A 15,222-nucleotide genomic window follows, 5' to 3' on the forward strand; every position below is an offset into this window, starting at 1 on the left:
GGCTGGAGTGCAATGGCACGATCTTGGCTCATCACAACCTCTGCCTCCCGGGTTCAAGTGATTCTCCTGCCTCAGCCTCCCAAGTAGTTGGGATTACAGGCATGCACCACCATGCCTGGCTAATTTTGTATTTTTAGTAGAGTTGGAGTTTCTCCATATTAGTCAGGCTGGTCTCGAACTCCTGACCTCAGGTGATCCACCTGCCTCAGCCTCCCAAAGAGCTGGGATTACAGGCGTGAGTTACCGTGTCCAGCCTAGCATCTTTTATTTTTTGACTTTTTAATAATAGCCATTCGGACTGGTGTGAGATGGTGTCTCATTGTGGTTTGGGTTTGCATTTCTCTAATGATCAGTGGTGTTGAGCTTTTTATCATATCCTTGACTAAGACCCATCAGTCAATTTGTGGAATCAAGACTGGCTTCAAGATAGACTAACTCCTAGTAGACTTTTTCACTAACAGTTACAATCCCTGAACCGCAGACTCTACACTGAAAAGGTCCCATCATATGGGCACTCCTGCTGCTGAGAAAATTGAACATAACAGTATTTCAGATAAACCTATGAGAAGATGAAACTAAGTGGAGGTAGAATTCAAACTTGTTCAGAGAAAGATACAAAACGAGAGACGTGAAATAACCATTGTCTGTAGGTCTGACAGCAAGAAATAGAGATAGAAGAGCTTCATTTGAAGTTTTGAACTGTTTACCTTAAAAATATTAATGGTGAATGCTTATCAATCATGTCTGTGTGTCAGGCACTGTTCTAAGTGCTTTATGTTCATTAACCATTTGCAGTAAATACTGTTTTCCTTCCCACAAAACAAGTGAGGAAAGAGAGGCTTAGAGAGGGGAAGTCAGTGGCCCCAAATCCTGCAGTTGATAAGTGATGGACTTAACCAGGATTTAACCCTCGGCAGTCTGATCCCCGAGCTCCGAGTGCTAATCGTTCACCCTCTCCCTCCTCCCACCCTCCAACCTCAAAGAGACCCCAGTGTGTGTGGCTCCCCCTACGCGTCAGGAACATAGGGCCATTCAAGCAGCCTTTAGGTTATAGAGATGATTTACAGTCACATGGAAGGAGAGTTTTGCTTAAAACTGGTAGAAGAAATAGGTAAAGTAAGTGGGAAATGAGGTAAGCTTGCTAGCTACACAAATCATCTTCACAACTCGAAGCTCAAATACCCTCAGTGTTCAGCTGGTGTGTCTTCACTATTTGATGTGCAGTAAATATTCTCGCTTCTTTTTCACTATAAGAGCAACGTCATTTTCAGTGTCCACAAGCTGGATTCACGTAGATCCCCCAAATCCTTAAACATCTGTGACCGTTGGTGTATAAACGGTCGAAGCATTTGATCAACTTCCTAAAAAAAAAGTGAAAAAAATTATAGTGATAGATTTCATGTCATCAGTAAAAAATGTGTGTGTATGAGTGGGGTGCCCACTAAGTTCCCCTTTGGGATAGAAAACTGCTTTTGAAAGCTGCTAGCAGAGGCAGTAAGTCACCTAGGAGCAGTTTTGTTTCGGATGACCCTAAGTTACTGCCAGTAGGGAAAACTGGTGAGATAAGTCAAATATTTTCCACTGGAATGTTACTTCCTTAGTGTTTTAATACTGTCGAAGGAGTATTAAAGGAGTCTTGAGGGGCCAGTGGGTGTAGGGGCTCTCCCATTGGTAGGGTTTTGCCGATGCTTCCCCTAACCTGTGGAGGCAAGTACCCCTGAGAACTAGGGATGCCCTGGGGCAGAGTCCTGGAGACAAGTGTTGGAGGAGATGGTACCGCACTGGCTGAAAATGGGAACGGCAGAGAGCAGGTAGTGTGACGTGATGGAGGAGATGGTACCGCACTCACTGAAAATGGGAACAGCAGAGAGCAGGTAGTGTGACGTGATGGAGGAGATGGTACCGCACTCACTGAAAATGGGAACAGCAGAGAGTGGCACTGGGATTCAGTTTCTATTTCCCTGAGTATTAGTGAAATGCCTGTTCAAATCCTTTGCCGATTTTTTTCGAATGTGCTTTCCAACATATTATCTTTTTTTAAATCTTAAAAGTAATAGTTTATTCTGAATACTAATGCTTGCTAAATAATATTAATATATTTTCCAGGCTGTGGTTTATTTGAAACTTTGTTTAAGGTGTCTTTCATTTAACCAGTTATTCTTTTTTATTGTGAGCTACGTAGAACAGAAAAGTACCCTAAATATATTGACAGGCCTAAAGTGAACACACCTGCTCTAGAGAGCCCACTGCCTGGAACTCCTCCTGTCACCTTCTTCCTGTCCCAGAAGCAACTGCCAGCCTGACTTGTGTGGTCACCATTTTCTTGCCTTTCTCAATAGTTTTGCCACCTAGAGTATATCCCTAAACAGTATATTTTGCCCTCTTTGAATGTTTATAGAATCATGTTGGATGTCATCTTTCGTAACTTGGTTTCCATCACTATTGGAAGACTCTTCTTGTTGCCTGTGGCTGTTGTTCACTTTCATGGCAATGTAGTGTTACACAGCATAGAGGGGCCAAAATTTACCCGTCTTCGGTGAACATGTATTAGGGATGTTTCCAGTTTGGGGCTACTATGGAAGAGGGTTTTATGAACAGCAGTGCACATCAACTAAGATTTCTGTAGTGTTTTTCAACTGGCCCCTCATCTGAACCACAGAACGGAAGTGATTTGAATAACTGTTTTCTCAGTTCTTTCAAGAATGGTGTGTAACTAGTGCCATCCTAGACACATATGACAGAGTTAGCTTATTTCGTATGTCAGATGCCTCAGTGCAGTAGGTTCTCAAACTTGAAGGCAGAATCATGGAGAGGGTTTGTTGAAACACGTGTTACTAGGCCTCACACCCAGAGATTCTGATTCAGTAGGTCTGGGGTGGGGCCCTGGATTTTGCATTTCTGACAAGTTCCTAGATGCTGCTGAAGCTGCTAGGCCATAGGGCACACTTCGAGAATCTCTGCCTGAGGCATTAGGGCTTTAACTCTGCAGAACCAGTTCAGCTGTGAAGGAAGGAAGAGTTGAATTGCAGGCTTCTAGGTTCTAGTATCTTCAACTTTTAATAAGTAAATGCCAAATAATTTTTAAATGGTTGTACCAATTTATACTCCTCTCAGCCATACATGAGAGTTTCTGTTACTTCATATCTTCACCAAAACTTGATATTGTCAAGCTTTTTAATTTTTGCCAGTATGGAAGGTTAATAATGGTATCTCATTGTGGTATCAGTTAGTATTTCCCAAACTATTAATGCGATTAAGCACTTCTCCATATATTTATTGGCATTTTTAATTTCCTCTTTTGTGAAGTTCCTGTTCAAATCTTTTGACCATTTTTTTTTCTATTGGGTTGTCTATTTTTCTTTTTGGTTAGTAGTTCTTTATTTTGGATATTAGTTCATTATATGTTAAACGTGTTGCAAAGAACTTTTCCCATTCCTTCTGGCTTTTTCATTTTGGTGTCTTTTGATGCACCAAAGTTCACCATTTTAATTTAGCTGACTTTATCGGTCTCCCTCTTTAAAGCTAGGGGGGTGTGTGTGTGTGTGTGTGTGTGTGTGTGTGTGTGTGTGTGTGTCATGCATAAGAAATCCTTTTCCACTGTGAGGTCGTAAAGACAGTCTCCTAAAGTATCTTCTGAAAGCATTTGAGGCAGGGCATGGTGGCTTATGCCTGTAATTCCAGCACTTTGGGAGGCTGAGGCGGGAGGATTGCTTGAAGCTAGGAGTTCGAGACCAGCCTGGGCAACATAACAAGAACCCCATCTCTATTTTTAAAATATTTAAATAAATAAATAAAAGCATTAGGGTTGTGCCTTCCACATTTAGCTCTTTAATTCTCACCTGAAATTGATTTCTGGGGTAGTTTTAGATAGGAATCCAGTTTCATTTGTCCCCATACATATTCCTAATTCCCCAGCACTGTTTATTGAAAAGTCCATCCTTGCCACATTGATTTGCAGTTCCACTCGGTTGTATATCAAGTCTGTAGTCCTGAATAAATCTGTTTCTGAGCCTTCTGTTCTTTTTCTTTGGTTATTTATCTATCTTTGGGCCAACACCTTACCTTACTGCCTCTGTTACAGAGGCATTAAAATGAAGTGTTGATATCAGGTAGGGCAAGTCTTTCTGTCTTGTTCTTGGGTCTGGTCTCATCTTGGCTAGTTTTTGCTTTTGCAATTCCATACAAATTGTAGAATTATCTTGTTAGGTTCTATTACACTTGATTGGAATTACAATGACTCTTGGGGAAGAGTTGACAGATGTACAATAACAAATCTTCCAAACCACGGAGAGATGGCAGTTTCTCTATCTATTTATATCCTTTTAAACATCTCTCAAATAAGTTTTAAAATTTTCTCCGTACAACTCTTACATATTTTATGTCAGCTATAGGCCTAAGTATTCCATATATTTGATGCAATTATCAATGGTGTCTTTTATTTTAAAAATAATTTTCTGCTTGCTGCTGTTATATTCAAATACAGTTAATTTTTAAATCTTGATTTTTGTATCTAGCAACTTTGTAATTCATTTACAAATTCTTGGGGATTTTCTGTCTATACAAGCAGGTCATCTGGGATGATACTAGAGGCAGCGCAGTATAGACTGGGGAACAGCACCGGCAGGGTCTGGACCTCAGCGCTGCCACAGATGAGTCATGTGTCTTTAGACACGTTCCATGAACTGTAAAATAAGGTGAATAATAGTACCTGCCTCATAGGGTTGCTGTGAGAATTGAGACAGTAAATGTAAAGCAGGTTGTAAGTGTTACATAAGTGTATGCTATTATTGTAATTACTTTTCTTTCCTTTCCAGTCATACTTTGTATTTCTTTTCCTTACTGCACTGGCTAGAACCTAAAGGACAGAGGTCAAGAAAGCTGGCATCCCTGACCTCCTGATCTGAAAAGAAAAGCTTTCAGTCATTCATCACTAAGCATTTTGTCCACTGTGTGTTTGTCTTAAGATTGCCTTTATCAGATTAAGGAATGTCCATTTTATTCCTAGTTTGCCGAGAATTTTTATTGTCATAGGATGTTTAATTTGGCCACATCTTTTTCTGCATCTGTTGAAGTAATCAAATTATTTTATCTTATAATCTCTTAATATGATGAATTACATTGGGTTTTATAATGATAAACCAAACAGGGTAGTCTGTATATTGCATTGTAAAGTGAGTGGGTATCAGTCGTGCAGTGACCGTGGTAGCGTGGAGCCAGCCGGATGTGCACTCAAATAAAAAGGTCAGAGCAGAGACGGACGGCGGCCTGAGAGGGCAGCAGATTCGCGCTAACAGAGCAGGTCAAGCAGGGCCTCCTCGCCTTGCTCTTCCGCTTCAGCATATACGTCTCCAAGCTCAGGAAATGCAGTTACATCAAATGTCTAAATTGGATGGAAAGAAATTCTGTGTGCTCCCAGGATTCCAGTTCCTTACCGGAGGTTGGTGCCGTCTGAGTCTGAAAAGCTGCCCTCTTGCCGTGTTCATGCTTTGGTAGAACACCTTCAGAGCCTTGGCAAGCTCTCGGTCAGAGCCGGCTTGCTGTGTGCACATTTGGCTCATCTCCCCGGCGGATGGCAGTTGCGCAGTCATCCCGCTGATCTTCAGAGTGTTGGAAGGCTTCGGGGCTGAGGTGGAAAAAGGTAACATTGATTTATGTATCTCTTTCTCTGGGCATCTCTATATTTATTTTGGTGGCATTCTACTGCATCAGCATTTATCAGGCACCAGTTTGGATCCATCCAAGGGAAAGGGGAAATCTCACAGGGCAGAAGAAATGTCCGGCATTTTTTGTTTATGAAAGAAGATACGAATTAACTCATTTAAAAGTTTGTTTCTTAAAAGACAAATACACATCCCAAATGTAGGAGTCTAGGGATAAGCTAAACAGCCAAGACTGGAGCAGTCTCTCACCTTGACCAGAAGCAGTTTTCGCAAGTGATGCTTTGAGAAGCACGTTCTCCTCTCTCAGGGCTCTGTTAATGTTCCTGAGCGGTTCCGTCTCCTGCTCTAGCTTGAGCAGCTTCAGATAAAGTTCTGGTATCTGGTTTGATGCTGCCTACCAGAAAACATGTCAGTTTCGTCTTTTGTTGTATCATCTGCATATCCTTTGAGACTGGCAATGTTTGCTACCATGGGAAAATCAAATGGGATGGGAGTGTGTGTATGGTGAGCAGAGTTTAAGCCCCTCAGGGTACACAGGAGTAAATAAAGAAAACGTTTGTTAAGGGGGAAGGAACGTCAAGCAGCCGTCCTCAGAGATTTTCTAGCCACCTGGGATGCCCACTTTAGTGTCCTATGTACACACCTGGCTTATATCCTTCACAGTGGAAATTTTCTTGGTGTCTACCAGGATGTGGCCTTCACCTGTGACCATGAGGCCCAGCTGAGAGCAGCTCAGCTCGGTGCAGCCTTCTGTAATGGGGAGAGACACAGTCAAAGAAAGAAACATCCCAGTCGCCCAGCTCCAGTGTCAGGTGAGAAGTTGTTAAAGCATGTAACCACCCTGCTGGATGAGAACCCAGAGGCCCAGGGGAAAAGATGGCTCTGGCCCACCGCTGTTAGGACGCTGACTGCCTCGCTCCTCTACCCCTTCTGCAGCCCTGAATGTATGGCATGTCTGATGAAAGAATAAGTAAGCAAGGTACCTTGAAGGCCCCATAGGTCAACAATAAGGGCATTTGTCCGCAAATAATTCAGAAACTCCTGAGATGCAGTTAAGGCTGCAAATTGGACAGTCTCTTCAATTTGTGGATTCACACTTTTCCATACAGGTTTGGTATAGATAGTGTTTGGAAGGTCATAAATTCTGTACCTGAGAAAAACATAAAACATAATTTAAAACCAGAAGGGACACATTTGTAAAGAAAAGGGACAGATGAGCCAAAGATTTACAGCGCATGTGTCAGATAAAAGATGACCTATGATTGATTGTCATGTTTATCACCTCCAACATCTTACTCAACAGGGATATCATCACTAGATAAATAATAATTTTTTTAAAAAGCTCAGGCTGGGCGCAATGGCTCATGCCTGTAATCTCAGCATTTTGGGAGGCTGAGGCAGGCAGATTGCTTGAGCCCAGGAATTTGACACCAGCCTGGGCAACATGGCAAAACACCATCTCTGTAAAAAATACAAAAATTAGGTGGGTGTTATGGTGCATGCCTGTAGTTCCAGCTACTCAGGAGGCTGAGCCCAGGAGGCAGGGGTTGCAGTAAGGTGGGATCGCTCCACTCCACTGCACTCCAGCCTGGGCGACAGAGCGAGACTCTGTCTCAAAAACAAAAAACAAACAAAATGGATTTCAATAAATCCCTTCTACTCAGATAATCAAAAATGGTTAATTTTCTATGTGAGGCGGTGATTTGGTTTTCGTTCTTCAAAGTCTCTATTGCCTTATCTTTATTTATTTATTTATTTATTTATTTTGAGACAGAGTCTCGCTCTGTCACCCAGGCTGGAGTGATCTCGGCTCACTGCAACCTCTCCCTTTGGGGTTCAAGCAATTCTCCTTCCTTAGCCTCCTGAGTAGCTGGGATTACAGGCGTATGCCACTAAGCCTGGCTAATTTTTCTACTTTTAGTAGAGCTGGGGTTTCACCATGTTGACAGGCTGGTCTCAAACTCCTGACCTCAAGTGATGTGCCAGCCTCAGCCTCCCAAAGTGCTGGGATTACAGGCGTGAGCCACCACACCTGGCCTGCCTTATCTTTCAATATCCTTTTAGCCTAATTTGTTTAAGCATATCTGGTGCTTCTGCCATATCATAATACAGTCCTTTTGTTTCCAACTAAAACCTAAAAACTGTTTTGCTTAGATAACATGGTTTTACTGGATATTCTTTCTGATAATTAGAATTTCTGCTTCAGTTCTGTAAAGAGTTCAGTACACACTGACCACAGGCCAGAGACCTGGAGGGACATGTGGCCCCTCTATTAAATAGTTGGGAAATAGTCATCTCAAAGTTAGAGAAACTATGAGGGAAAATAGTCATCTTAAAGTTAAACAGAGAAAGTTCCTCTATTAAATAGAGGAGGAAATAGTCATCTTAAAGTTAAACAGAGAAACTTAAGAAAACTTTATGATAAGCTCATTTTTAAAACTTGAAGAAAGACTGGACTGCCCCCCACAGGGTCCACACGGCAGGTGGCGTGTGTGGCTCTGTTCCGCGGTGCAGGCTGGTACCCTATCTGAGTGCCCCGCTTTGCATCTTCCTTCATCCAGTTGACGCCAAGGCACCGGACAATGTGAATCTGAAAATCCATCCTCTTGCCCAGCAGCTCCAAAGGGTCAATAACCACATCCTCCTCGCCATGCGTTCTACAAACAGAAGAGGTCAACATTGACCTCGGGTTAGGCTGGGTCCAAGCAAGTTAAGATTGTGATGTTAAGGGGGTTAAATAGAATCCTTAAGAGAGAGCTAATTTCACTGTAGACAGGATCAGTAGAGTTCATTCATGCATTCAAGAGACATGTTGAACAAGAGCCCGTTACCCTGGCACGTCAAAGTAAGATCAGGCCTTCTCAAGGATCTCCCTGCCTGGAGGAAAAAGGAAGATAAACAGCGTCATGCAATGGATGCACACAGATGTGGATGCTAAACTTGCATTGAAGATTTAGGCAGGTCCCCAGTGGAACAGAGTGGGAAAGCAGCGGCTGCCCAGATGCAGCCTCTCAGGTTGTCATTTTCCTTTTCCTTTGTTTCTTTATAGTCTAGAGAGAACCCCGTTTCTGCAAGCTCAGAAACGGACTCGGACAGCTTTCCAACAAGGGACTGCTGTCCTATCAACCAGGCTCACAAAGTCTGAAACCTTTCAAATTAAATTCATTAATTTGCAACAAGAAATACAACTTGCTGGGCAGCCCAGAAGCTCGAGGTAGCCAAGTGATCAGAGTAAAGGCAGTGAGTTGTTGGGCAGCTTGGTTTCTTGGTCACGGAACGTTGAGGTTCCCTTCTTGAGCTGATTCTTCAGAAAGATGGAAAGGTTGCACTGAGTGCCTTGGCACCCAGACCAGGCCACCGCCAGCCTCTTGGCTTAGGGTTGCTAAAAGACTTTTGCTTTGTAAAAACTGCCTGTGACAGATGAGTATCCAGAGAGGACAGTTGAGGGTAACGAGGCAACGTTTAGGACAGAGCCAATAGCTCAAAACAAAGCCTGTGCCCACAGAAAGGTCAGGTGACAGCACAGAATGAGGTCAGGCTTCACCGTCCTTACCTCGAGAAAAGGGCTGAGCTGGAAAATCAGCTTCTGCTTCTGGCTCTTGAAGCAGGTTGGGCCCTCAGCATGGGAAAGCGTCCCACGCGGCACATGCCAGGCCCACAGGGCCAGGAGGGGAGTGTGGCTGGGGAGGCGCTGCAACCCACTTGGCTTCTCTCCTGAGGGTCCATTGTTTGGAACCCACCCAGCTCTTTCGGTTTTGTCCAAGGTTCCTTCCACTATACCTGCCTCTGCCAGATGTCCTCCTCATTCCTCAGGTCCCCCAGGGGACAGCAAAAATCACATTCGTTGAGGCCAAATGGTGAATGAATGAGCTCTTTCATTTGTCTTATGAATGACCTGTTCAGGGTACCAAGTTGACCACCCCGTCAGGAGAACTCAGGCCTGCTCTGGATTTTATGTGTGTGACTGACCCAGAAGTAGGCAGGGGGGAGAAGGAGACACTCACTGTCCTGTTGGGGAGCAGGGTGCTATGCAGGTATGCAGCACCGCCTCCTCCAGCCCATCACAGTTCAGAAACTCCACTTGCTCCTCCAGCTTCATGCAGTAGGCCAGCGACTGGAGCCAGATGTGAGCTGAGCCCAAGCGGACGACCTCGACAGGATCCCAGAAAGGGTCGTCATCTCGAGCCACAGGGCCGTGATCTCCATCTAGAAAGCGCTGGTAAAGTTCCTGCATTAGGAATTTCCTATTGATGAACTTGGCTTTTGACCATATCCACACCTGGAAACACAGAGGTAGGTCACCAGTATTTGATTCATCTGCTGCTCTCACAATTCATCACTCTGATTTTCCCAGCATGCTCCCTTCATTGACTGGGTTTGCGGTACGCATGACCACATCCCACTTTCTCCACACCTAGCTTTGCTGACATCAAGAATATCGTATTAATTCCTGGACCTGTTACTTCCCCATTGCTTGAGCCTAGGAAACGATTTAGAGGAGATGATGAAGGGGTTAGAAAACAGATCCTCTCAGGGGAGAAGGTTTGGGGCTTATGGTGTCAGAATGGTCCTCAAAGATGCCCATGTGCTAATCCCCAGAACCTGTGAATATATTACTTTGCATGGCAAACGGAAATTAAGGTTTGTCATCAACTGACCTTAAAATACGGAGATTAGCCTGGAGTATCCAGGTGGCCCCAATGAAATCACAAGGGTCTTCAATATGGCCGAGAGAAGCAGAAGAGAGGGTCAGAGATAGGATAATGCCTGCGGGGTCAGAGAGAGGTTATGTGGCGGCTTTGAAGATGGAGGGAGGTGGCCTCTAAAAGCTGGAAGGGGCCGGGAAACAGATTCTCTTCCTCAGGCCCAGAAAGCAGTACCGCTCTGTCGACACCCTGCTTTTAGCCCAATGAGACCCAATTTGGACTTCTCACGTGTAGAACGATAAGGTAGTAAGTTTGGGTCATTTAATGAGCCTGGTCATTCATGAACAGCAGCCATGGAAGATGATGCGGGGGTAGTTAGTCTGGAGAAGAGCTGAGAAGTGGCTCCCCCGCCATGACTGGAGTGCACACGGGCACACATCCACAAGCACAGGAGACACTCCCCACAGCCTTCCCAGCCCAGCATGGCAGGCATTCTGAGCTCCATTCTGTAGAGACCCAAGCAGGCGTCCTTCCTTGTTCAGGGGTCCACACCCAGTGCACAGCAGATCCAGGACAACAGCCTGCCGCTGTCTTCCTCCTCACTGGGTGAGGACAGGGCCTCTGTCAGCACTGGCTCTGGAGAGGAAACAAACCTGAAGCCACAGGAGGAGGGATTCCAGAGGGATTCCAGGTAGGTCGTTTTTAGACCATAAATATCAGGTAAAACTAGCAACTCCTTTTCTGAGCAACTGGAAAAGCAAAAGCAAAAATCAGCAGACAAGTCGTTCCATGTATGATGTCTCTTCATAAAAAGGACATTCTCAGGACTCTGAAAACAGATTCCATCTTTGTTGGCCTCAAAGTGAAGAACCGTAGTGCTCTCCTAGAGGCGGCACCACCATTAAATAAGAATGTGGGGGGGCGGGCGCGGTGGCTCACGGCTGTAATCCCAGCACTGTGGGAGGCCGAGGCGGGCGGATCACGAGGTCAGGAGATCGAGACCAGCCTGGCTAACAGTGAAACCCCGTCTCTACCAAAAATACAAAAAATTAGCCGGGAGTGCTGGCGGGCACCTGTAGTCCCAGCTACTTGGGAGGCTGAGGCAGGAGAACGCTTTAACCCAGGAGATGGAGCTTGCAGGGAGCCAAGATCGCGCCACTGCACTCCAGCCTGGGTGACAGAGCAAGACTCCATCTCAAAAAAAAAAAAAATATGGGGGCAGCAGGGAACAACAGGAGTTCTAGTCATTGTGGTTTTTCTGTTTGTGTTTTTCTTTTCTTTTTAAGACATGTGATCTTGCTGTGTCACCCAGGCTGGAATGCAGTGGCTCAATCTTAGCTCACTGCAGCCTTGAACTCCTGGGCTCAGGCGGGCCTCCTGCTTCAGCCTCTGAGTAGCTGGACTGCAGGCGTGCGCCTGCACCGGCTTATTCTGTTTTTTTCTTAAAGACTTTAGGGAACTAAGATCATGGGAATCTAAATAATAAATGAATTCACTGCCTCATTACCTCTGGATATCAGACCACAGGCCTGGTGTCAGTTAAAATTGCATGTCATCCTTGGCCTGAGGAGGAAACAGGTCGGCGAGGCTCCAGGATAGGCTGCGAGCCCATGCTGACTCCCGCCTGCTCCCGGGTGGGCTCTGCAGGCCTGGCTCAGAGTTCCCTGGCAGGATGTGCTGCTCACCAGAGCCAACAGCTGTTGGGTGAATACTGCTGAAAGGTAACCGCAAGCTGGCAGCATTTCCAGGTCAAAAAACCCTCCCCAACCCTCACACAGCCCTGGTTTGCTCGTGAGCTTGTCTATGATATGTGACTCCCAACAGCTGCACAACACTGCGTCCTCCCTGAGAGCTGCAGCAGCAGTCACCGTCCACACGGTCAGCAGGGAGGATAGGTAAACACATACAAGATCAACCGCAAAGTAGCATTCGTGTTTCTAGCTGGGACCCACAGCTGTCTCTGCTGCTCTTCTAGTCTTCGGAAGTGCCTGTCTCACATGCACTGCCAACATCTACACACCCTGTCACAAGAGACCCCCAGACCACAGCCTTCCAGACGTCTCCATCTACACACCCTGTCACAAGAGACCCCCAGACCACAGCCTTCCAGAAGCCTCCATCTACACACCGTGTCACAAGAGAGACCCCCAGGCCACAGCCTTCCAGAAGCCTCCATCTACACACCGTGTCACAAGAGACCCCCAGACCACAGCCTTCCAGAAGCCTCCATCTACACACCGTGTCACAAGAGACCCCCAGACCACAGCCTTCCAGAAGCCTCCATCTACACACCGTGTCACAAGAGACCCCCAGACCACAGCCTTCCAGAAGCCTCCATCTACACACCGTGTCACAAGAGACCCCCAGACCACAGCCTTCCAGAAGCCTCCATCTACACACCGTGTCACAAGAGACCCCCAGACCACAGCCTTCCAGAAGCCTCCATCTACACACCGTGTCACAAGAGACCCCCAGACCACAGCCTTCCAGAAGCCTCCATCTACACACCGTGTCACAAGAGACCCTCACACTACAGCCTTCCAGAAGCCTCCATCTACATACCATGTCACAGGAGACCCTCAGACCGCAGCCTTCCAGAAGCCTCCATCTACACACCATGTCACAAGAGACCCTCAGACTACAGCCTTCCAGAAGCCTCCATCTACATACCATGTCACAGGAGACTCTCAGGCTGCAGCCTCCCAGAAGCCTCCTGAGGAAAGCAGGGCTTCATCTGAAGACAGGTCACTGGCACTAAGCTTACTTGTTTTTTTGAGACAGGGTCTCTGTCTGTCGCCCAGGCTGGAGAATAGTGGTGTGATCACGGCTCACTGTAGCCTCGACCTCCTCAGGCTCAGGTGATTCTCCTACCTCAGCCTCCCCAGTAGCAGGGACTACAGGTGCTCACCACCATACTCAGCTAATTTTGTATTTTTTGTAGAGACGGGGTTTCACCATGTTGCCCAAGCTGGTCTCAAACTCCTGAGCTCAAGCCATCCACCCACCTCGGCCTCCCCAAATCCTGGGATTACAGATGCGAACTACCGTGCTGGGCCTAATCTTACTGTTTTAATGTAAAAATGGACAGTCTTGAGGAAGACAGATTGGTAAGATTCATATCTTCATGAGAAAAAAAATAGAAAAAAAAAAAAACAAACTGTACGACCCCCTTAAAAGAGAACCTGGTATGTTTAAGCAGAAGCAGTCCTATCAGACAGCTACCTGTCCCAGTGACAGGATGCTGGGCTGAAGGAAAATGAGGGCATGAATCCAGGCCCTCAGCCCTCCCATACAATTCTCCCAATGATAAGTGTGAGAACACCGTCTCCTGTTCTGTTTCTGGTAATGACAGGCAGGTGCTCATGAGTGTCTTCGTGTGCACTCAATAACCCTTCTGTTAGCAACAGTTTAAAAGGCTATTTTTCGAACTACCTTGGACTATAATACAAAATAGAATAGCATGGAAAATGGTTTTTTAGAATTACAAATTTTCTTAAAACAAGGTCTGACAAGACAGGAAACTGCCAAGCCAAATTCTAGGGGAAAGCCTGGCCCGAAAGAGGCACGTGGAATATCGGGGCACCAGAGCCACTTTGCCCCAGTGGCCTTTGCTGGAAAAAAAAGAAAAATGCAAAGTACAAACACACTGAGGGGTCCCCTCCAAGGCCTCACGGAACATGGCAGAGAAGTCCATGCTGACTCCCTAGGGTGAGGGTCTCACGGGAGACCCTGTCTGCATCACACAGACCTGCAGGAAAGGGGCCGGTCTCTGAGGAGCTGGGCTCCAGGAGGATCCTTGCTTGGTTTCCTCCCTGGGGCAGCATCTTGGCAGCCCCAGCACCTGGAGGGCGAAACCCCGTGGACGGGGTGGTGGATGCAGTGCACAGGTGCTGACCACATGGGACGCACACACATGCTTATAGTCTTAGCTCATTTCACAATTTTTAAAAGCTTTACAAAAATCGGTCTCGGCCCAGAACATTTTGGCAATTTTCGGGCGATGAGCAGATGAGCAGAAAAGTGAAACTCAGAGAAGCTTCAATTGCTGAGCAGGGAGGGAGCAGCCCGGGGTGGGGGCCGGAGGCGCAGTCTGGAAAGGCAACGGGTGAGTGTGCTGGAGCCGGAAGCCTGAGGGCTGCTCCTCCAGGGGCCTGATATGCACAAGGGGTGCTGCAAGATGGGCCTGCATTTCTGTTTCCTCCTTTGGAGGCAGAGGGAGAGGAAACAGGGTCTTAAGTTTCTAAAATGGAATTTCCTGATAGTAAGGTCCAGCCAGTGGAGTTGGTGAAACAGCCTTTTCTGGAGTCCCTAGGAGGATTGCTTTTCTCATTGCTGCAGAAAGGCAGTCTGTGTTCTCACGGGCACATGTACACACAAACACACACTTGCACACACACACACGCACCTACGTGCATGGACAGACACCACTACCACTTGTATAAACTCCCAGGCTCCCTTCTGGTACAAAAGCCTTTGAGTCATACTCAGCATGAACAGATGCTCAGTGCAGGCTAGCTTAGGAACGCTCCCAGGAGCTGGTGCTGTGAGGGAGGGTGCAGGACAGGGAATGGCTGGTGCTGGGAGGGAGGACCCAGGACAGGGAACGGGAGAGTGGATCCCCCTGTTCCCCAGAGCTCCAGCTCATACTTGGAATACGTTTTGCCCTTGACTGGGTCTCCGGAGGCTGCAGCTGGTAAAGATAACCTGTGTCCCCATGGATCCTCACCTCCTGGGTCCCGTCCCCGTGGATCCTCACCTCCTGAGTCCCGTCCCCGTGCGGCCTCACCTCCTGAGTCCCGTCCCCATGGATCTTCACCTCCTGAGTCCCTTCCCCGTGGATCCTCACCTCCTGAGTCCCTTCCCCATGGATCTTCACCTCCTGAGTCCCGTCCCCATGGATCTTCACCTCCTGAGTC

The 15,222-nt window shown here is 46.7% G+C and overlaps 1 pseudogene, besides 2 other annotated features; it reads right to left on the reverse strand.

Moving 5' to 3' along the window:
* On the reverse strand, nucleotides 1,248–14,130 carry KIF28P (kinesin family member 28, pseudogene; annotated as a pseudogene).
* Nucleotides 5,475–6,674: an enhancer, noted in NCBI's record as "BRD4-independent group 4 enhancer chr1:246939407-246940606 (GRCh37/hg19 assembly coordinates)". NCBI's record gives its function as "activates an origin of replication core promoter dependent on BRD2, P300/CBP, MED14 and CDK7 cofactors, and independent of BRD4, by STARR-seq in HCT116 cells {active_cell/tissue: HCT116}" and the evidence as "EXISTENCE:reporter gene assay evidence [ECO:0000049][PMID:35650434]".
* Nucleotides 12,114–12,233: an enhancer, noted in NCBI's record as "active region_2860". NCBI's record gives its function as "activates an Ori minimal core promoter by ATAC-STARR-seq in GM12878 lymphoblastoid cells {active_cell/tissue: GM12878}" and the evidence as "EXISTENCE:reporter gene assay evidence [ECO:0000049][PMID:35858748]".

This window comes from Homo sapiens, chromosome 1 (assembly GCF_000001405.40).
Source record: "Homo sapiens chromosome 1, GRCh38.p14 Primary Assembly".
Taxonomy (NCBI): Eukaryota; Metazoa; Chordata; class Mammalia; order Primates; family Hominidae; genus Homo; species Homo sapiens.